The sequence below is a fragment of the Homo sapiens genome, chromosome 6 (genome assembly GCF_000001405.40).
Source record: "Homo sapiens chromosome 6, GRCh38.p14 Primary Assembly".
NCBI lineage: Eukaryota > Metazoa > Chordata > Mammalia > Primates > Hominidae > Homo > Homo sapiens.
This window is the reverse complement of record NC_000006.12, coordinates 96,533,938-96,555,417: the sequence shown is the minus strand read 5'-3', so window position 1 is coordinate 96,555,417 and position 21,480 is coordinate 96,533,938. Positions and strand designations below refer to the sequence as shown.

Below are 21,480 nucleotides of genomic sequence, written 5' to 3'. Positions count from 1 at the left end.
AGAGCTCTGGAACTATTTTTGTGTAAGAAAAATAAAATCCTTTAATAATGTTCAAAATGAGAATTCAAAATGTATATATATAAAATATATGCACCAATTAATCTTTGTGTTAATTAATAGAAGCTTCAAAGTACTATAAAATTTAGTAGAATAGGTAACTTTATTTTAAATAACTTTCTTAACCCTGCCCATTAAGATCACAGTAAACATACAATAATTTTTATTATGGAAATTAATCTTTACATACAAAATCAGCTACGTAATTTTACTTACAAAACAATAAAAACTGTTCTTTACTGTGGCAACAAAAGAAGCATTTTGACAAATGAAAAAAATTAATGCAAACAAATTAAAACAATGCTTTTCTTTTTACTTGCTTCACTGTCTCTTCTATTTATTTTCTATGATCATTTGACACAAACATGGATTACTTTGATATCTACTGAAACATAAATGATAAGGTTCTTAAAGGTTGAATTAAAAGTCTGGGTGTTCAATATTTTAGAAGCTGAATAAACAAAACGAAATTGGGGTTTGTGATTACAGAGGATTTATCATTTTTTCCCTTTGCCCATATGAAAATATATAATAGAAAATTACCCACGGGAAAACATTTTTAAATTTAATGTTGCGTTCCTATCAAGTTTAATAATAATGCCAAGTTGGCAATTTAATTAATTACTTTCACTAAGGATTAATACTTTGTCTAGAATGGAGTAGAGGTAGACTGATCTTTTCGTATTCAAATATTTTAAAATATAAAGTTTAAAATGTCATAAGGAATTATATAAAATAGTATTTTTAAATATTTGAAATTTAATTTATAATTATATTCAAAATAATTAAATCCCTTTTTGATAAATAGTAAGTAAGTTGTTGCTTGAAATTCATTTGGTTGAAATGATTACTCTAAGGAACTCTTTTAGTTATTTTTAACTAATAATCTTTAGAAAAAAATGTCTATTTTTTAATAAGGGTTTCTAGTTTTGGAAAAAAGCTTCTAATGATTTAAATGCACTTACAGATGCTCCTACCACTGGAAAAGGCATCCTATCTGTTTTTCACACTAGTATTTACAAAGTATTATGTGACAGAGCAGCTGTTGAACTAAAAAAATAAAATGTACAAATGCAAACTGGGTCAAAGAAAAATCTTTGTATAAAATGCTTAGTTATTCCAATGTTAAATATGACTTATGCTTACTGGTAATAAATTGCATGTGTTCTCTCTCTTGTTAGTAGCTTGTTTTAGAAGAGAACACAGCAATGCATGGGCCACTCTAGCGTTCTTGTGCACCTGTAAAGGCATCCTTGCAGCCCCAACCAAAATCAATGTTTATTCTGCCAAAAATAAGAGCAAGGGCTTAGTAATAATTTTTCTTTTTTGTAAATTTCTGTATTTTAGTTTTGAAGTGCTTTCTATTTAAAAATAAAAAACATGATTTATTTTCATTTCTGACACAGAAGTGTTTCTTTTAAAAAAAAAAGACCACATTTTAAATTTCTGCTTAAATGTATATAAAGTATACATTTAAGTATACTGGCACTCGCAACAAATGAATCCTTCCCCAGGGATAAATGGATTGGAAAATTTGTTTTTCATTCAACATTTGGAAAGAGAACAAACCTGAAATATGTAATTTTTAAAATTATGTGAAAATAATGTGAAAAATTTCATATAGTATTTGTGTGAAAATCAGGTGGAAAAAAACTTCCATGAAGAACCCAATTTACAAAAATTCACATCTTTTTAAGATTTACATTTAATACAATACTACTGTTTTAACTGAATTGTGTGTGTATGAGGTGGTTTTTGCAGGGAGAGGGGAGTTGTATAGTGACTACTTTTTTGTGACCACTCACCTTCAACCTTGGGGGAAAATGCTTACTATATGACAAATGTAAATTAAGATCATTACTCTTCCGTCACAGATGATTTCCTAGATTTGAGAACAAGGTCTTTAATGGATGAAGAAAGTTCTTGAAGCTCTTTACGAGTAGTACTGGCAACATCTTCTTGTTCTTTGTCTAATTCATTATTCAAGGGATAATCTCCCTGCCCAGTCTTCTTACTTTGACTGACTAGCTGCTTTACAACCAAACCTTGATACTTTACCAAAAGAGCATGCTGATCCTGTGAAAAGGGAAAGAAAAGTTAATCAACACAATTTATCTTTTTGTGGAACAGATAAAGTAGAATTTCTTCAACTAATACACATTGAAGGTCCTCATCTTTACAAAAAACTGGCCATGTAAGTAGCAAGTCTAATCTAGCAGTTTCTGCTCTCAAGGAGTGTACAATTTAGGAGAGATAAAACATGAATGCAAATCACTTTACCATAAGTTGACTTATGGTAAAGTCAACTTATCACCTGGTTCTATCACCAAAGATACAGTCAAAGGGATAGGGAAGTTCCCTTTTAGCTGAGGGGTTTTTTAGCTAAAAGGGATAGGACAAGACTTTTGAATGGGTCCTTGATGGATAAGTTAAACCTAAAGAAGCTGAAATGGGAGATTTGACATTATTGTATCTTTTCTGAAAGCTTAATTTCCAAATTCAGAACATTCTTGAAAGATTCTTGAGCTATGTGGAATTTTAAAAAATTAATCTCCTAATCCACTGTTCACATTATTGGAAATGGGCTTTGATGTTAATGTATTTTATACCTGAGTGCTGACAGTAATTCATCTCAATCCACTCAAAATATTCAGAATGTAAATCTTTGAAAGTTTCAAGTGTATTGAAAATGTAATACCTCTGGAATTTTACTATTAAGAAAAGCAATGATCTGTGGGACACATCTTCCAGGTGCATGGAGCATGCTGTGGGTTGAAAACTGAAACAACAGGACTGATGTGAGGTGCAGAATAAGAGCAGGGTCTTCTGTGACCTTTAGCTGTTCAGCCAGTGCTTGTCGATGTTGGAACAGTATCTGTCTAAAAAAAAAAAAAAGCACACAAATTCATTATCATAATTTAAGAAGTTCTCACCAATTTCAATTCATCCCTTTCTGTTAATTTTTAGCTTCTCTAGTTTATCTAATTCCATAAAAATTTAAGGTAACTTTTCAATATGGGATATACACACATAAAACCTAAATGGCATGGATAGATTAGTGTGCTACAAAATTAAAGAAAAAGCTATAGAGTGGGAATACTCAAAGTATGTTTTTTGTTTTGAGTTGCTGGAGGTCAAACAAATTTGCACTGATTAGGTAAGGTTTCCTGTAAGGAAAGTCCCCAAGCTAATAAAAAGTTCCTGGGCTTGATGAACTATAGGATAAAGAAACTCTGCTACTTGATCCAGAGGGTCAGAGAGAAATATCTAACTATTTTAAGACTTTGAATATTCTTGAAGGTCTACAGCCATTTAGATATATTAGACACATTAGGTACATATTCTCTGTGTAAGAGCCGGGCAGTCAAATTCAAATTTCAGATATGAAAGGCTCCACATTTAAGAACATTTCCAAATATAGATTAATTTAATGTTACCTTTCCCTTTTTTTGTCTCCCCTTTTCACCATAATATCACAAGCTTCTGCTGCAGAATCCAGACAAGAAATAAAGTCTTCTATGCTCTGAAAAGGCATTGAATACCATAATTTACTTTTATATATAACTGCATAAGGAAGTATAGCCATTTAACAATTGTTTTGTAATTTTACATCCCAAATACAATTTTTAAAAGGGTCACTTTCTCATTAAGTTAGAAATTGTGATATAGAACTAACAATGGTAAAATGCCAGCAGCTTGGTCTTCTCTTCTCATTTCAAAGAGGCAGCTGAGTGCAAAATACTAGTTTTAGATTGGATTTACAATTACTCTGATAAAAAAATCTACTCAAAGATCTTTGTAACAAACTGCTAGCCCTGACATGTAAATAGAATAAAACTTTACTTACCTTTTCATTCAGAGAGTTATGGAGTTTTGTAAGAGCTACTTTGGTTTCTTCTGATAATTTACTTAAAATTTTCTTTCTTATCTGTAGGGGTAAATGAAAATTCATTCAGTACTGTGCTTTTGACATGCAATGGATATAAGATAAAGTGAAAAAAATACTGTAACAAGTTCCTGAGTGGAATTTACCATATTCTTGAATTTTAGATCTCAAATTAGAGACAAAAACATTATTAGAGTCAATAGCCAATCAGCCAAACAGGATAGATACAGCCCTGCTCCTCCCACCTGCTCCATCAATGTAAGAGAAAGACTAGAGAGAGTCGTTGACCTTGTGAGAAACAGAATATTTGGGTTAAGAGGCTAATTCTTCCATTAGAGTAGGAAGAGGGTGTTTTTCTCTACCCAGTGCCAGCTGTGAAGGGCCCCACTCATAAAGATCAAGGATGCCTACAAGATGGGAGGCTGAGCTCTTGTTCATGGCTGGATGCTTGTTATGCTCTATGGTATGAGGAATCTTTTCAGCACCTCTCTCTACATGTAAGTGTCCACTGAAGTTTTATGGTATTCTTGATCAGAGTCTTTTAGTTTCTTCTGGCATAAAATTTTGGAGCAGACTTGCTAGTATGGCTTGACACCAGGCCCTGAAGTGTATAATGTCTGGGAAGATTAAGGGCTAGTTGCTCCTGTCTAGCCTCTCTGCCCCAATCCCACACCAATCCTTCTGTGGCCCTTAAAGGGCATGGAACAAGATATTCTGTATTTTCCATAGCAGAGATTGGTATAAGGGCAGGAGACATGAAACTGTCTAGACAACTGGGGATTTGCTTCTTAAGCAGAAGAAGGGAAGGGGGCCAGCACCTTGCTGGGGAAGGAGGAAGAAATAACTGTTCCTCTGTTTGAGGGATGGTCCTTACTGTGAGAAGTCACATGAAACTAAACAACATTCCAGGGAAACAACTTATATCGCCTATGAGGCAATGACTAACTACATCACCAAAGACCACAAACATCAGACTGATTTGGTTTGACCTTGATCAAAGCAGTGACATGTAGTCAGTCACATCAAGACGCTTTTTCCTGCCTCATTTTTCCTAAATCTCCAACTCGAAGTGGACCTAGAGAGGTGAGGAAGAAGGAAGAAGAACAGGAAAGAGGAGGAGGAAGAGGAGGTAGAGAAGGTGGGAGGAGGACAGAGAAGAAAGAGAAGGAGAAGGAGGGGTTGTCATCTTGGGATAGATGGCACCTTTCTTCCTCTAGGCAACTGGGAGCCATTCTCTACATTACATAGCAAGAAGGGAGGAGATGAGCTTTTGAATTTAGTTTGAGATTAGAGTTTTAAAAAATTAATTGGAATTAGTCTAAATATTGAAATGAGATGTCCTTAAAGGAAAATAACTTCAAAGTTATGGAAATGGGTCAGAATGTTATGGGATTTGCCAGTCATTAGGAAGAGGGAATGTGACATAATAATTAGGGAAAAAACTGTTTATTCTAAAGTAATTAAGCATCATTACTTTTAACAGACTAGTTATACTACCAATCCTGCTAGCAACTGTATATATAGTACTAAAGTTGAATAAAAAACTTTTAGATTTTTTTCCTCAAACCTCTTTCACTGTATTTTATTTTCCTCTTTACTCCAAATAAGATAAAATAAAATGTGTATAGATGCAAAACAGAACACATCAATAGTGGTAGGGAGATCATTAACATACTTCACTTGTAATGGCTGCAGGATCGTCTACTGCCATCATTAAATCCGAAGCTAAGAAGTTGAAAATGAGGTTAGTGATATCAGTACACACTGACTTCAGCAAGTGTTTGGTAAGAGCAGCCTGTGTGTCATCTGGAAAATAAAGGACCTTTATTAAAACTAATTTATTCCCCAAATTATGAAAATCAATGAAAAAACAAGATTAACAAAGATTAAGTATACCTGCAAAAAACTTCATCCCTTTTTCAAATAACCTAATGTTATTGTACAGGTTTGAAACTTCTTCTTGCAAGTCCTTGATTGTGCGTTTTCTGCCCGTCCCAGAAGCAGAAGTTGTTGAAGACATGAATACTGAACGTACCACCTCGAGATAAGTTTTATTAAGAGGTCTGTGCATAAGACAAATATATTTAGTTTATTAAAATGTACTGAGTATTTATATAGATAAGGAATTTTGTTTCTATGGAAATAAGGCTTAAGAATAGAAATCTCTATTTTTTTATGCAAATAAAATTAATTTGGAGACAAGTTCACTAACAATTTGTTCCACAACCCTAGGAATTAAGACAGAAATAGATTAATTTTCTCTATTTTAAAGTATTCAAAGTTACTGCAATTAAGACACCAAGAATAACAAAACCCCCATAATTCAAAATTGCTTTTTAAAATTAATTTGGAGACTAGTAGACTATAAATCTGTTCTTCATCTTCAGGAATTACAACTTAAAATTCTCAATTTCTAAAATATTAAAATACATTTAAAAAAACCTTTTTATGCCTAAAAAGCAGTGCAAAATGATTAGTAGTAACTATTTCATTTTTTTACATGTGAAAACTATAATTCTGTAATACATTTATGCACAAAAAATATTTATATTAAAAAAATTATCACCACAGAAGTTATATTTCTAAAATCAAAGTTAGATACACTGCTCTCCTGGATTGTATTTATGAAAGCGTACACAGTGAAACTAACTTGAGGGATGACCAGGTTAGTTAGTTACTAATGGTCAAGTTATACATAATTTTCTTCATTTTTATATAAAAATACCCTTAGCCATTCATAAGGTAGGAGTGCCTAAATTTATTCTTTTTGAAGTGAATTTGTTACTCTATATTCTCCTTAAACACTGTTTACTTTCTGCCAAATTAAAATAGAAAATTATCTTTTCTTCCTTTTGAATGTTATTTTTTGTGCTATAGAAGAGACCAGCCAGTGGTTAATGCCGGTCTTTTTCTCCCCAACCAAGACCTATGACTGTAAGATGGGTGAGTGAGGACACTTTCTCGCTCCTGCCTTTTATTTCCCATACTGCTTTACCCAAAGCACCTAACAAATATTTGTTGAATTAAACTGCCACTGTAGGCAAATAAAATCTGGAATTTGGTGGCTAGGTTAAATTCCAAGTTTGAAATGAAAATATCTAATACATTTGCTTTCTATGATCTTGGAAAAAATCTTATTTAATAACCCATTTAATTTCTACCATAAAACAGAAAAAATACATTTTATACTTGCTTTATTAAGTACTCAGCAAGTTCCGAAATAAACTCCTCAGGGGCATCTTGTATGTGTTTTCTTAAAAAATCTTCAATCTCATCCTGGAACATAAAACTGATCTCTGGCTTCTTCTTTCCTATATCGGACATGAGCAATGGCAAATAAATAAATAAATAAAAAACATGCAACCAAATGGCAAATAGGGCTCCATTACTATATTTAGTAAGACAATAATTCATTCATTACTCAATTGTTAATGTCAAATAGCAACAACTAGTAAAAACAATTTTGAAATTAGGATATATAATAAAACCTCTTTTTAAAAAATATTTTATTTTATATTCAGGGGCTTCGTATGCATGCTTGTTACATGAATACAAGACATACTGGCAGGGACTGGGCTACTACTGTACCCATTAACCAAAGAGTGAACATTGTACCTATTAGGTAATTTTTTTAACCCTTGCCCTGCCCACATACCGCCCCCCCCCAACTTCCCTTCTTTCGGAGTTCTTCTATTATTTTCCATGTGTGCCCATTGTTTAGCTCCCATTTATAAGTGAGAACATGTGGTATTTTGTTTTGTTTCTGAGTTAGCTCACTTAGAGTAATGGCCTCAAGTTCCAACCACGTTGCTGCAAAGGACATCATTTTATTGTTTTTAATGGCTACATTGTATTCCATGGTATACACCACATTTTCTTAATCCAGTCAATCATTGGTGGACACTTAGGCTGGTTCTATGACTTTGCTATCGTGAATAATGCCTCAAAGAACATAAGAGTATATGTGTCTTTTCAATATAATAATTTCATTTCCTTTGGGTAGAAACCCAGCAGTGGGATTGCTGGGTCAAATAGTAGTTCTAATTTTAGTTCTTTGAGAAATCTCCATACTGTTTTCCATAGAGGTTGAACTAATTTACATTCTCTCCAACTGTGTATAACCATTCCCTTTTCCCCACATCAACACTAACATCTGTTGTTTTTTGACTTTTTAGTAATAGCCATTCTGACTGGTGTATGATGATATATTGTGGTTTTAGTTTGCATTTCTCTGATTAGTGATGTTGAACATTTATTCATGTGTTCGTTGGCTGCTTGTATTTCTTCTTTTGAGAAGTATCTGTTCATATCCTTTGCTCAGTTTTCAATGGGGCTTCTTCTTGTTGAGTTCTTCGTAGACTCTAGATATTAGTCCTTTGTCAGAAGCATAATTCGCATATATTTTCTCCCATTCTGAAGGCTATTTACTCTGTTGTAATTATTTATTTTGCTGTGCAGAAACTTTTTAGTTTAATTAAGTCCTATGTGTCAATTTTTGGTTTTGGTGCATTTGCTTTTGGGATTTTTATCATAAATTCTTTGCCTAGGCCAATGTCCAGAAGATTTTTTCCTAGGTTTTCTTCTAGGATTTTTACAGTTTCATGTCTTACATTCTAAATATTTACTCCACCTAAAGTTGATTTTTGTGTATGACGAGATAGGATACAGTTTCGTTCTTCCCAGAACCATTTATTGAATAGGGTGTCCTTTCCCCATTGTTTATTTTTGTCGACCCTGTCCAAGATCAGTTGGTTGTAGATATGTGGCTTTATTTCTGGGTTGTGTATTCTGTTCCAATGATCTATGTGTCCATTTTTCTAGCAGTACCATGTTGTTTTGGTTACTATAGCCTTGTAGTATAATTTGAAGTCAGACAATATGATGCCTCCATATTTGTTCTTTTTGCTTAGGATACTTTGGCTATTCAGGCTCTCTTTTGGTTCCATATCAACTTTAGGAGTGTATTTTTCTAATTCTGTGAAAAATGATGTTTGTTTTTGATAAAGATTGCACTGAATCTGTAGACTGCTCTGGGGAGTATGGTCATTTTAACAATATTGATTCTTCTAATCCATGAGCCTGGGGTGTCTTTCTATTTGTTTGTGTCATCTACGATTTCTTTCATCAGTGTTTTGTAGTTACCTTTGTAGAGATCTTCTATTTCTTTGGTAAAATGTATTCCTAGTTTTTTTTTTTTTTGTAGCTATTAAAAATAAGACTGAGTTCTTGATTTGGTTCTCAGCTTGAAAGACACTGATGTATAGAAATGCTACTAATTTTTGTATACTCATTTTGTATCCTGATATTTTACTGAAGTCATTTATCAAGACCAGGAGTCTTTGGAGGAGTCTTTATGGCTTTCTAGGTATATGATCGTGTCATCAGAGAACAGAGATAATCTGACTTCCTCTTTTCCAATATGGATGCTTTTATTTCTTTCTTTTGCCTGACTGCTCTGGCTAGGATTTCTAGTACTACGTTGAATAGGAGTGGTGAGAGTAGACATCCTTTGCCTTGTTCCAGTTCTTAATGGCTCTATCAATTTTTCTCCACTCAGTATGATGCTGTTGTGGGTTTGTCGTTAAGTAGCTCTTATTATTTTGAGGTATGTTCCTTTGATGCCTAGTTTTCTGAAGATTTTTATCATGAAGTGGTAAAATTTCTTATGTGATCATTTTCTAACTTCATTTAAAACTGATTATTTTCTATAAGTCAATCAGAAAATAATAAAGAGTTTTCCCCTTTGTTAAACCTGGATGATACAAATAGCTGGAAATCAAAACAAGTATTTCAAAACAAATTTTTAAGGAAAGAATAATTTATCTTTGTTGAACAAGGAATACCGGGCAGTTTTTCCTCCTTTATAAAAATATAAATTTATTAGAAATTAAATAATCCTTATAATCTAAATAAGATCTTTGGAAAGTCTTTATAATCATGTGAATCACAATTCAAATAATTGTTTAAGCTAAAATGTATCTTTTGGAAAAGGCATAGATTAAAAAAAAATCTCAGAATTCTATAATTTATTTTTGCTCTCACAAAAATAAGTCTATAGTCAGGAAAGTTTGTATGCAGCTACTGTAATGAAAATAATAGCTAACTGTGCAAATGTCATGCCTACCCATTTACTTAGGAAAGCATGGGTTGTAGACAAAAAAAGCTAACAATATTTCCATTAGAAATTGTAAAGGTATAAAAGTGATTATTTCTAGCTTAATTAAGTTATTGATTCTATAAGCAAAAACTTTACAAATAAAAATAAAATGGCTCAAAAATCAATTTTCACTATAAATAAAAATCTAAGGAGTTGACATGCTAGCTTTAGAGTAGACAGACAGTACTATTATCTTCTGGGATCTGCTGTCCATTCCTAATGTTCACATTAAATGATCTATGATTTCCCTGTTTACTTCCTTTATGCATTTTCAAAGTTATTAAATTATATTTTCTTCTAGTAATCTTTCATACTGAGTTGATCCTATATTTTAGCTGAGAACCCAATTTCATCCTCTATTTCAGAGATTACAACATAAATTTTTTTTCAAAAGCATTGAAATTATATTTTTAAAGGTAGAATGGTTTTACTACTTTTATAGCTCCTTTCAATAATAATCTATTCACAAAAGGAATATCACATGCCTCATTTAACCATTATTTAAGATTACAGATATTAGAGAAGTGTTTTCTTGTAATGCCTCTTCACCCACATGCCTAGTACACCTGGGCAACAGGAAAATCCATTTACCAGTGAAAAATTAAAATTCACAATGGATAGTCTTAATCCTATTTGAAATAAGGATAAAGCTAGTAGTTCCTATAAAGATACTTTTCCTTTAATTAACGTTGTTTTACATACATGAAGAACAGTAGTTATTTCTACCTATCTCAGAATACTTTAAAGACAAATCTTAAACAACTGTGCTATTACAAATAGCAAGTAGAACATTAATAGCTGCAGGCACATCACTTGATATCTACATCTTCCAGCTATAGCCCGTATGTAATGAATTCTGTGAAAGAGGAAAAATATAAATCTCAATCTATTATCATTTAAAGTTTTTTTTTTTAATTTTCATTTTGCTGGGGATAAGGAAGAGGGCAGTATCATGGTTTCATTAAGTTTACCTTTTTTAAACAGAAAAATTAAAAATATCATAATTTTAATTAGAAAAACAAAAGATGTCTCTTGTAGACTTTCTTGGCCAAGCACTAGCAAGTCTAGGAAAAGAAAGATGCATATAATTAATGCTCTCTCTTAGATATAAGCAACCAACCAGTTAGGTGTTACTATGAAAGTAAAATGTACATAAAATTAATGTTTCCTATTTAAATTTGCAAGTCTACTTTTCAAAAATATCCTAATACTTGTTTTGCATGGCAGTGGAAGACCATAAAAATGATCATGGTAAGGTGAAACCATGCAAAGCTTTCTTAATAATCAATAGGAAAAATTACAATTGTTCTGTGGCCTTTAAAAATTTTTGGTAAACATTAAAAGCTTTTACTGTTGGTTATAAATGTATAGGAAAATGAAAAATAAAACTAATGTTTATAATTTAATATGCTGTATTTTTAACACATTAGAACATGGAGAATGAAAGTGTTTTATTTCTGTGTAAAATACTTATCAGGAATAGTCTGAACAGTGCTTGCTTTCTTCTTATTATCAATTAACTTGCAGTATGGACCAAGTACCTTTCCTATGCCTTATAAATTGTCATACCACTTTCTAACTCTGAATCAGCTTCCAATGTTTTATCCCTTGCCTTTTCAATGTCTTGGAATATCTCCAAGAATTGTGAAGTTTTTCCCCACTTTACATCCTCTAAGATGTTTTCATCCTTTTTGTCATAACCACTTTCCTCATTTTCTTGAGCAATGGCAGTGTCAACATTCCCACAGTCAGCCATTCCCTCTATAACTCCATTTATGCTTGATTCCAATTTTATTTTCAGTGTTATCACTTTTCATTTCTTTGCTACGCTTTTATCTTTGTTGGCCAATTCTCTTTTTGATTATCCATTTCTGTAAAATATCATAGCGTTTATCACTGGGAGACAATTAGGCAATACAGCTACATGCTTTGTTGTTTGTGCATAAGGAATAACCAATGTGCAGTGACCAATCATTGACAAACTATACAATAAGTGGTGTGATTGTCACAGATCATGATATGCATCTGTTATTTATGTACTGATTTGTGGACTGAAGAGCTACTTTATACTATACTCAGTTAATATACCGAAGTATCTTTGTATCTAATATTTAAGATAAACAGTGTTGTTACTGGACTGATAACATTTAACTAAAGTGTGGTAACTGAAATTTGTGTCACTGAAACACTGCAAAATAAGGACTTCCTGTATTAGCATATATACCTAATTATATACATCTTAAGAAAATATGTTACAAATATCACACATACACCAAGGAAAAGTAAAGAAAAGCTACCTACCAGTGTGGGATGATTGAGATTCATCATCACTATCATCATCTTTTCTTCCTTTCTTCTTGACTTTTTTAATTTTGTACTCTCTGGCATTGCCCCCACCTCCTCCTCTCATGCTTCCACTGCCCTCTGGTGGGAAAATGACATTAGTTAGCATTACCTAACTAAATCATCATTTTTATAAAATAATGACACTATATTGTTGTATTTAACTTTACAGCAGAAAAAATAAAGGCAAAATAAAGAAACTTTTAGACTCTTTTTAAATTTGGAGTTCCCTATTAAAAGTTTAGTAAATCCAATACATAAAAAATTAATAATAAAATATGAAATCTTTTGAGCAATCTACCTTAGATAGCCTGACTGCTCTAAATGCATTCTCTTTCTCCTTCTCTAACGTCACCTCTTTCCTGTAACTCTCAATATTTTCTTAACAAAAATCCATTCCTTCACCTCCTCTTCTACCTTCCCCAAAAGAAATGTGTCCTCCTTTGCTCATCTGTGTTACCACAGCCTCATCAATAACCTTCTATTATAAGACTTCACAAATTTAATTATTCTTATTTTGCCTTCTTTGTTGAAAGATTATTACCTGTTTTTAGAGGAGATATCCTGACTCATCTGCTACTCAAACAGATTATAAACTTCTGAAGAGCAAGGATCATTGTGTCATTAATGTATATATTCTTTACAGAAATGCGTGAAACATAACACGTGCTTCATAAATGTTGACCATGAATATTAATTGGTTAAGTATAAAAGTATTATTACCTATTGACTATAGACTTAAAAAAACAAATTATGAAACAAATGCAAACACTGTAAATAAAAATAAAAAATACTACTTCAGCATTTCCCTGCTCTTTGATATTGACATGTAAAATATCTACTCTACAAAATGGAATACTGATAACGGGTTTAAACCATTGAACATATTACAACTATATTATATTACTTCAAAATAAGTAAAAGATTAGTCTTTTTAATAAAATAAAGTGATTACTAAAGATCTTTTTCTAAATTCTAAATAGATTTGCCTTAGATTTCATCACATCCTAGATTTAAACTTCTATTATTTTTCCCTTTCTTTTATAATAAAAAAATTCTATTTTCAAAAATATAAGTCTAAAGTGAACATGCTTTTTATATTTGACAATAAGTTTCCTATGGGGGGGAACATTCATGATTGACATGATTCCACACACTGTAATTAAACAATTATAATACAATAGCATTATCACTGAAAATAAAACACCAAATGACCCTTAACTTTTAATAAGAAATAAAATATTAAATAGACTAGTTATACTGACATAAGTCATCAATTGAGTAAGGCAAATTTATAACTATATCTTCAAATATATGATAAAATATCCATAGCTATGAATATTACTGTGATTTAAGTAATTTATTAATTTTCCTGGAAGAATAGAGAAATTTCATAATGCCATTGAAAAGTTTTAAGAAAAAGATTCTGGAAGAGGAAATAAACTATCTCAAAGAATTAGAAGTGTATTTATTAATGAAAAATGTTGAATATTGAATTTCTTCAGTTCCGATAAAGCACTAACAGCACTGTTCCTACTATAAAAACTATGGAAATACATGTTACTTTTCCATTGCAAATTACAAGCATATCAGTGATACCTAGAATAATTTCTAGTGACTTTAGATTAGAAAAAGAAATGTAAAAATATGTCCTTCAGAAATTTTTTCATTTAATTAGTATGTTTATAGGACACCTAAAATATATCAAGTGGTGCTTTGGGTATGTAGCAAGAGTACAACAATAAATGAGATCAACACAGTTCCCAAACAATAAAACACATCATGGTGATAAAGTGATGCAAATAAACTGACAAAATGAGGTGGCAGAGAGTGACTGTGGCTACTATTCCGAAGGGTTAGGAGGCCTCTCTAAGGAAGTGGCATTTAAAGTCGAGCTCTGAATGAAAAGAATACACCAGTTACTTACAGTCTGGGAGAGGGCATTCCAGGTAAAAGGAACAGTTGGTGTAAAAGCTTTGAGGTGAATATGACCCTGGCAAGTTTAGGAATCAAAACAAAACAAAACAAAACAAAAAAGGGCTACTGGGCTGGAACATAGACAGAGGATGGGGAAAAACAAGAGATGAGCATGATGATAAAATAAAGTTTTCACAAAAGAAAACAGAAAACATAATCACCAATATTTCCATTTTATTATATAAAACTTAACACATTAGCAAAATATTTGGTTGATATTAGCTGTTTAAAGGTAAATCAATAAAACAAAGGGCCTTTCAAAGGGCATAATAAATGTGATAAATGCAAAGTTCACTGCAACAAATACAAAACTTTGAATATTCCTTGTTAACAATTTATTACCTGTTGCTTTCCTTCTTCGCTCATCTTTTTTATCCTTTTTACTTGTACTAACGCTTTCTAAAGTGGAGATTTGTTTCAGATCTTCTTCAGTGATTAAATGCACAGGATTATTTTTCATTTCCTAAAATAAAACATGCTTTTTTTGGTAGGAAAAACACATAGCATTTCCAAAAGCATAAAAGTTGTTTATATACTCACTAATTATTCTTGTTTGGTTTTGTTGCTTAGAACTATAGAGCTTTGTTTCAGAGCTGTCACTCTAAGGCAAATGTTTCTCCTTGCCCAAAATAGGTCTCTTCTCTTGCTGCTCTTGACCTTTTTTGTACCCATTATTAACTAATGAGAAATCCTATCTTGTCACTTCACAACTGATTACACAGCTGCAATCAGATGCAATCCTCTCCAGCTGTTACTGGCTGGTTTTACCACAGCTTAATTGATGCCCCATGCTCCTTCGCTTTTTGAGACTCCCAATTCCAATGCCACCTGGATATTTGAGATTATTAAAGATAATGAACCCTCCATCCCCTACCCCACACAAATTACCATATGTGAGTTGCATACTAAGTCATATAATCTTTTTTTCCCCCCTCTGGATTCATTCTTGATAATTTCTGCTTTGAAAAAGTTTATGATAACAACGATGAAGTATTTCCAAGTTCGGATACTGGTTCTTTCTGATGGCATAAGGTCCTATAATCTCTAGTGACAAAAGTATATATTTATGATAAAAGTAATATTATTTCCTTTTTGTTTTTCTAAAGAAAAATGCTTAAAATATTGACAGTTCACATGACAGAATCACCTTTTTCCAAATTTATTTTTGTGGTTAGAGGGAGAAGCCCAAGGAAAGAAGAAAAGTGATAACCATGTTAAATTTTTACTTGAGTAAAAAATCCCAAATAAAAGTAAGAGTCATTTACTAACTGCTAGTTAACATGGAACAAACATTTTACATATATCCCTTATTTATATTTATTCTTTCCATAGTAGGTATCATGATCCTTTCTTTAAAGATGAGGAAACTAGAGGTCTATTTGTCCAAAGTCATACAGATAATACACGTTTTAAATTCAGGGTTGCTGACATCAAACATGTATACTTTGTAATCTTCTCTGCTGCTTATCAGGCTAAATACAGAAGTTTATCTCATTTTTAGACTATTAAAGAGCTTAGAAGGAGAACAGCTAAGTATAAACTATTTACATATTTAATAAGCCCTCATGAATTTATTAACAGTTTAAAATAAATGGGCCTATTTTACCTATTTGAGAGCAGGCTTTATAAGGAGATGATGCTGCCAACTAGAAACATGAACTACAGAGTCATTAACACAGACCTGGCAGGACCTCTATTTCAAAATACTTTCATAGCAGTTGCTCTGAGGAACTAATAAATAGTAACAAAATTTCTTTCTTCAGTAATTTACCCTGTCTGTGTATGCCAAATAGGAAAAATTATTGAGGCTCTGCTAGATTGAGTAAATATATTGTGTATTGGTTGACAAATACACTGTATATTTGTACATATCTACAGATACTGTTTTTTGTGCATTTTGAGGTTTTAAAGTTGGACCAACCTCAGGAAACTTAACTGAAAAGTGTAATTTCCTTTACGTTATTTTAATTTATAAAGTCAGTTCCCCAACTTTTAAGTCAGATGTTTTGATGGGAATAAGAGAAAAAATAAATCTGGGAGACAAAATAAAAACGAATGATACATTAAAGGAAAATAATAAATGATACAAAGTGTTCACTTTCACTTATCCCCTTTTTCAAAAGACATCAGATGATTCTAAATTGAAAATATTATTAAGATTAGCAGATAAAAGGAAATCTGGAATACCTTTTCAGCTTTCTGGTGCATCAGCTCACGGAACAGTTCTGTACAGTCATTTATAAATTTTTCACTGACTACAACAGTGTCGCTAAAGACTACAGTTGAGGCCTGTTTGCTGAATGCCCTCATCACCTGCTGAAGCAATATGGCAGCATCTTCAACTGATAAAGAAGTGGGTAGCAGAGGCTAGAATTACAAACAAAATAAAAATAAAGTATAAATGCAATATAATACAGTGAAACCATTTGCTATATACATATATGCTCTCTCTAGATGATCTCATTAAGTCCAGTGGCTTTTGGAACCATATTTATGCCGATAACCTCCAAATTATATTTCTGGTTTCATCACCACTCTGAGCTCTGAAATCATATATTCTATTGCCTACCTTCCCCACTTGCATGCCTAACAGACATCTCCAATTGTTTAAAACAACACTGAAACCTACAAGGCACACATAGTTCGTTTTTCTCACAAAGTCACAAACAGTCCACCAGGATGTCCTGATAACCTTCAAAATGTATTTTGTCATAACTCTTTCTCCTATCTGAAATTATCTTACTGTTTTCCTTAACTATCTTTCCCTAATGAAAGTGTCCCTCCTAAAGACAGCAAGCTTGTCTGGCTACCATATCCCCAACAAGTATTAATAGAACGGTGCCTGGCACACAGAAGGTAGTTTTGTTAGATGAATAAAAAAACAGTTAAATCTGGAATCTTTGGGACTTTCATATCCAAAACAGAGAATTTCTGCTTTATAAAGAGGGTCTGGGCCCGACTAGAAAATAATGGATTGGCCTCGTTTATTTATCTTTATCTACACTTATCTTTTTGGCATACTGAAGGGCAGATCAACATTGAACACTGAAGTAAACACTATCCGTGCCAAGGCAGCTTGTGTTAATACATTAGCAGAGATTAATGGATAAGGAATAAACAAATGCTACACAATGCCTGATGCCAGTACGGCTGTGAATGCGTGGAAAAGATGTGAGAAGTCTCATCAATTCTTTATCAGGATTAACAGGAGTGTTATATTGTTTGCTTGTTTGTTTTGAGATTTATAGAATTCTGGATGTTGACTGTCCACATGTAGAAGGTCACCCGAAAGACTTTAAGCATAAAGATTATTTTTGTTATAACAATGATTAGAATTTGCCTCCAAAGCCAAGACCACCTTTATGTATCCTAATTTCTAAATGGTCAAATATTAGTAAAATATCAGTTGTCACTGTTTAAAGAAAAGTGAGGAAAAGATAAAACATACTGCAATATCAACCCATGTTCCAGAGCTGATGGCTTCTTCTACTGATGCTTCCACTTGATCCACAAGTCCTTGACCAACACAAGCTGCTTTCAAAAACAAGAGTTGTGTAGTCTTATATCTTTTCTTTATGTAGCTTACAGCATCTGGGATTCCAAGTCTGGACAAAGCATCAAATTCTACAAATATATCACAAAGTTGGATTAGAATTGTCAATTACATGTAAGACAAAAGTGAAAAATAAAGACTTAAAAGTTATAGCCAATAAAGTTATTAGAGATGTCTACCTTCTTAACTCCTCTAACTCCACCCCAAATAATCATGCTTAAGAAAACTAGTTATAACAAAGTTCTAATCCATGATTATAATTGAAGAAACTGAAAAGTACAACTCAGGAAGTCAAGAAAACGTAAGGAAAAAACCCAGTATTCTACCATACGTTTAAATTATTTATATACTAAGGACTTACAGGTTTATTACTGAGGAAGTAATCTGTTATGCAGTTTGACTTGGATTATAAAACTGATCAAACTAAGTAAGCTATATATATGTGTGTATATATATCTTATATATATATATGCTAATTGTTTTAATAACTAAATTCAGTCCAATTTATCCAAATGACAGTAGAATTTCAGACACAGAATTTAGAATAACTTCAATGTTTCCAAAGTATTAGTTAACTAATAAAAACACACATTGTAAATCTGATAGTCAACAAAATATTTCTAAGATGATATATCTGAAAAACTGGGCAACTTAGCAAAATGTAAGATATAATAATTACTTTTATAATTAAAAAATACTTTTAAGTTTATAGTGCCATCTTAATAAATGTAACTGAAAGATTGGCAGCGATTACTACCAGCTTTTAGTCTTTTTACATTATAATTGTTCAGTAACTATAGAACTAAACTCAGTTCCAAGACCCACAGAAACTCGCAGTGTGATTACTTTTATACTCAAAGGGAACCATTATAATCTTCTGATCAGAGAGGACAGTATATGTAAACTCTAGGGTTCCCATTTTTAAATTTTTATTTATTATTATTTTTAATATAACCCACAGATCAAAGGAGGACTCTAGGGTTAGTATAATACTTTTAAAGAATGAGTTTAGTGTTAAAAATAAATTTTAGTTTTAAAGAAATAAGAAAGTTACCTAGATAGCCATTCTGCCTGAAAAAGGAATCCACCCAAGTACTCTGTGTCCTGGAGTAGATGTCAGGGACAAACACAGCTTTATCCTGTCTCCCACCAACCACAGTGCCTCGTAAGCGTCCGCTATTAACAAGTTCCTCAAGCACAGCTTAAAACAAACCCACATGAATACAAATAAATCAGACCAGGTATAAATCTTAAAAAGTAAAATACTTTATTATTTCATAATTTACTTATTCTTAACCTTTAAAAAACCAATCTGAAGTTGAAATAGCATAAATAAAGGTAGTATATTTTAGACAAAATTTTCCTGCCATTTATGAGAATATTCAAAACATAAATTCAGGGAAGTTTTGCATTTTGGCAACTAGCTAAAGGTGTTGAACTTGTAACTCAAGCTAGTTAATGTTAACACTGAAATTTTTAGTTTGAGTAATTTTGGTGAAAACACAGCATGCCATTATCTATCTCATAATTTACTAAAAACAGATGATAAAACACTTCAAGAACAGGTAATATGCAATTATTAGTGTTAACAAGTTCCGTTTTTTAATATTTAAAAAAATCAAGACACCTAGACTATAATAGAATCAGTAGTGTGAAATACAACTATAAGCAGTTTAAAGAGTTATTCCATTTCCGCTGTTTACGTTGAAGTAAGACATTTCAGCCCTACCTATAAGAGAAGTGTAATGCCTTGGTTAAGAGGATCAATGTTGGAGTCAGACTAAGTCTAAACCTCAACTCTGCCACCTACTAGCTATGAAACACTAGACAAGTCATTTTCCTTATTTCTCCATTTCCGTATCTGTGAAATGGGGATAATAACAATATCATCTCATAGAATTGTTGTATTCAAGTAAATTGCTTGCAACAGTAGCTGGCATATAATAAAGACTCAATAATAAATACTAACTAAATATCACTACCATCACCACCACCACGAAGCGGAAGGTGCTGCCATTAATAGCAAATTTATATTTTTATTTAAACCATAACATTTAACTAAACATTTTGTTTTAGAAATTAAAATCCTCTAAAAAGGAAAAAGCAGATGGAAGGGAGCTATTTCTAAGTGAATCAGCAAGCACATTCAAAAGATGATTGGCAAAAAGAAAGGCTAATGAAAATTAGTCTGTAATGGAAATAAAAATTAGTTTGTGCATGAATTTTAAAATTGCAATGCTGAGTAAATTAGAATACATCAAAAAAGTCCGGATTTCTCAACAGACTACAACACACGATCCTCAATTTAGTATGACTGTACAATGTAAATCCATTCTAAATTCTGAACAAAGTTGTGAAGTTACCAATTATTATTTGAAGAACTTTACATTATAATGAAATTATACCAACTCCTAATTATATAGATTCCAACAAAGTCAGGTTAATTTTAAATCAGTCAAACAAAAATTTTAAAGTTCATATTCTGAAAATACAGTGAAAATTAATTTTTGGTTCAATACTTGATATTTCTTTTCCATTTTTCATTTTAGTTCTTACATTTGCACAGATAATCTGAGTTGAAAGACAAAATCATTGCTTTTAAAAATTTTCAGCAAAGCATTAAAAAAAACCCTCAAAACCTCCCAAGAGCTTCACAAACAACATAATGAACAAAGATTATTTTCGAGTTAATATGTTGTTTGAATGATAAGAATATACTTTTATTGCTATCAGCTCTTGGTAAAAATTGTTAGTGAAACACAATTTACTTTCATATTAGATAATGTAACAAAATCATAAGAAACAAAGTAAAAACTATTCTTAATCTTACAATTTTAAATCTCTATATGTACATGTATAATAGAGTGTGTGAGACATATATTTTCATTATAAATGCTTACTTTTTTTTTCATTATACTCCTCTAGGGCTAACCAATATTAAACGTTTGGTGAGTGTAACAGATAGGTACATATATAAAACTTGATACAAAGAAACTTTTTTAAACCAGGAAATATTTTAGTTACATTAACAATAAAAGAGGAAAAAACATTAAAGTTAGTAAGTTTTACATTAATAGTCTATTCAGCAGCTAATTAAGTAAATATAATTTAAACCAAACTCACAGTAAAGAAGCTGCTCCTGAAATCCATATTTTGAAATCAAAGAATTCACAGCTGTAGGCCTTTATGGAAAGTTAAAAAAAAAAAAACTTCTTACTCATTATAGTGTTATAGATTAATGAACTTAAAAATAGGATAATTAGAATTTAAGAAAAATACTGTTTAAAAGAAAAAATAAAGTCAAAAATTACACCAAATTTTAAATCCTTAATTGGAATTTTGCTACTGAAATATCAGGGAAATCAATTTGTACTTGCAATCAAGGATCAGTTTACATTGCCATTCCACTAAATTCTCAGATTTCCATGATACGTAACTATTTGCCTTGGTCTTTAGGTTTTTCTTCAATGTTTTTTCTGTCTGGGAGGCTCTTTCCTTACTTGGGAA

The 21,480-nt window shown here is 31.8% G+C and overlaps 1 protein-coding gene across 1 annotated transcript in view; it reads right to left on the bottom strand.

The window, feature by feature from the left end:
* Nucleotides 1-141: 141 nt before the first annotated feature.
* UFL1 (UFM1 specific ligase 1) overlaps nt 142-21,480 on the bottom strand; it is a 33,471-nt gene continuing 12,132 nt past the window's right edge. Inside the window, exons 7-19 of the mRNA NM_015323.5 lie at nt 21,097-21,155; nt 19,028-19,174; nt 17,869-18,044; nt 16,608-16,787; nt 14,763-14,883; nt 12,402-12,524; nt 7,137-7,254; nt 5,840-6,006; nt 5,619-5,749; nt 3,905-3,985; nt 3,495-3,580; nt 2,756-2,936; nt 142-2,133 (exon numbers count right to left, since the gene is read on the bottom strand). Coding sequence (NP_056138.1) covers nt 1,915-2,133; nt 2,756-2,936; nt 3,495-3,580; nt 3,905-3,985; nt 5,619-5,749; nt 5,840-6,006; nt 7,137-7,254; nt 12,402-12,524; nt 14,763-14,883; nt 16,608-16,787; nt 17,869-18,044; nt 19,028-19,174; nt 21,097-21,155 — 1,789 coding nt within the window. The 3' untranslated portion in view covers nt 142-1,914. The remainder of the gene's footprint in view (nt 2,134-2,755; nt 2,937-3,494; nt 3,581-3,904; nt 3,986-5,618; nt 5,750-5,839; nt 6,007-7,136; nt 7,255-12,401; nt 12,525-14,762; nt 14,884-16,607; nt 16,788-17,868; nt 18,045-19,027; nt 19,175-21,096; nt 21,156-21,480) is intronic.